Source organism: Homo sapiens, chromosome 11 (assembly GCF_000001405.40).
Source record: "Homo sapiens chromosome 11, GRCh38.p14 Primary Assembly".
Classification (NCBI taxonomy): domain Eukaryota; kingdom Metazoa; phylum Chordata; class Mammalia; order Primates; family Hominidae; genus Homo; species Homo sapiens.
In genome coordinates this window covers 104,697,265-104,700,117 of record NC_000011.10, presented here as the reverse complement: position 1 = coordinate 104,700,117, position 2,853 = coordinate 104,697,265, and positions in this window count along the sequence as shown.

Here is a 2,853-nt window from a genome sequence, read left to right as displayed (position 1 = left end):
TAGAAGAAAAATTTGCCTCTAAAAACAAAGCTAAGATAAAAACATAGAATGTTATGTTTAATATAATTAATTAAATTCTTAAAGGATGCATGTATACACTTGGTATTTACTTAGGAGTCTATATGAATTTAGCACTATAGAAGTATAATCAATCTATGCTATTTCCTTGAATTAAATTGATTTTATTCATTAGTCATGGTCTAGTGAGAGATGATATTATTTCATATTAAATGCAGGCACATGTGTAAGAAAAATAGCTCTTATTTCAAATAGTTAATATACTATACTGAATAAAGATAATATAAAATAAAAAGGAAACAAAATAAAAGTAACCAATAAAATAACTTTTAAAAAGTGCTTTATGAAGAATATAAATATATTGAGATAAAAACTATAAATAACTTGGAATATGTTGATTGGAACCAATTATTTCACATAAAGAAAATGGGGCTGGGCGTGGTGGCTCACACTTGTAATCCCAACACTTTGGGAGGCTGAGGTGGGCAGATTGCTTCAGTCCAGGAGTTTGAAACAAGCCTGGGCAACATAACAAGACCTCCTCTCTATTTTTAAAAATAAGAAATAATTTTTAAAAAGGCATGAATCAAAAATTCATTAATTTATGTGATAAATATTCACTCAGCAATTAATGTAAGGCCCTATGCTAGATTCTGTGAAGAATGAAAGGATGTCATAGTTTCTGTTCTCAAAGAGCTTTCACTATATTATGTGAATAAGAGAGATGTATGTAATTGTAATATATGATACAATATAATTATACAAGAGAGATTAACAAAGTCCCATGAGTTTTTGAAAATAAAAGGAGTAGTTTTTAGAGATAAGAGGGAAAGTTTTATGAATGCAATGGCATTAAAGCAGGGTTTTAAAGCGTTAATAAAGTCATTCATTTCACAGATATTTATGGAATGTCAATTTTTCATCGGATGAATAAACTTGATTTTCTGTAGTCTATGAGTTTATGATCTATAAGCAAAAGATTAAACAATTTGTTCAAAGCCATCAAACAACTGAAGGGTAAAGAAAAGATTCGAGACCAGGCAATTTTGCCTCCAGAGTGCCTGCTGTAATCACCCACTAATAAACGCTATAACAGTTGAGAGAGAACATATAGAGGCACAAAACAGAACACCTATTATTCCTACAGAAAGTAAAAAGAAAAAAAAATTAATGGAGACTGTTTTAAATATAATATGAAATAAAAAGTTAATGTATGATTAGAGATAAAATCTGATAACAAAATCATATCAATAATCTATTAAAATTTAAAAATGGACATCAGGATACACAGAAATGGTATGTAACTTTTTTCTTTCCTTTTCTTTTTTGCACCAGGATCAAATCTAGAGGGACAATATATATATTTATGGATTATACTTTTTCATTTAAAATGAAAATAGTTTGGTTGAGTGGAATGAGAGAAAATATTTATACTTGTTACTTAAATTACCTGTTTTATTAAAAACAAGAATGCCAATGAGAAAATTGGTTCAAGACAAATGTTAGTATTCAAGGATTAAGATATCAGCTCTATCTAATTCCCTACTACTTCGATAACAATATTCTCTGTTGCAACTACTAACAACTCAGTGTTTATTGAACATACTGAACTCTCCTTACCATTAATAGCCTTCTCTCCAATTAGAATTTCTTTAATCCTACTGTGACAGATTGTATTTCCCAAAGATGGCCTCAACATCCTATATGCTTTTCTGCAATGTGTTCTTGCAACTCCTCCACCGAGCAGTGGAGTCTATTTCATCACATCCTAGAACATAGACAATTTTTAACAGCTTTGACAAATATAATATGACAAAAATGATTCTGTGCCAATTTCACGCATAGGATGTAATTGTCCCAGCAACATCTGCTTTCTACCTTTTGGTACCCAGCTTCCATGTAAGAAGCATAGAAATGTAATTACCCTGGGATTGTCATGTTGTGAAAAGGTGCTAGATCCATTTCAAAAATAGGAATGAAGAAGCAGCTTTCTGATTTTGAGTGTGGAAATATATTTTCTGACTGCATCATCTTATGGATCTATCTCATGTGGCTTTTGCCATGGTTGCATGAAGACAAGATTGGGGATCATCAAAAGATAATTCTGAGGATAAACCTTGAGAGGTTGAGGAGTTGGTGGGACTCAGCAACAGATTATGAAAACTGATAGACCAGAGGTACCAACAGCTCCAGGATAATATTTACAAACAGGAATGTGAAGGGTGAAAGAGACTGCAAAGAAGTTTAGTGAGTGGGGAACAGAAAGATATCTGACTTCTAGTTTAGGTTGTTACTGATGCCTTTGGTGAAAGCACGTTTGGTGAAAAGTAAAGTTGAATGCATTTTTAAAAATTATCTATTACTGCACAGCAAACTACCCTAAAACTTAGTAGTTTCAATCAGCCATCTTATGTTTCCTGTCATCTTATGGGTCAGGAGTTCAAAAAGGGCTCAACTGTGTGATTGTCTCTGCTCCATCCAACGGGGCATCAGCAGGGTCAGGAGGATCCATTTCTAAGAGGATTTCTTCACTTCTTCACTCATATGTCTGGTGCTTTGGTTATCCTTGGTCTCTCTCTCTCTCTCTCTATCTCTCTCTCTCTCTCTCTCTCTTTCTCTCTCTCTTTCTCTTCCCCCACCCCAACCTCCCATCACATAACTCTGCATCTTCTAGCACCTTTTCACAACATGACAATCCCAGGGTAATTACATTTCTATGCTTCTTACGTGGAAGCTGGGTACCAAAAGGCAGAAAGCAGATGTTGCTGGGACAATTACATCCTATGCGTGAAATTGGCACAGAATCATTTTTGTCATATTATATTTGTCAAAGCT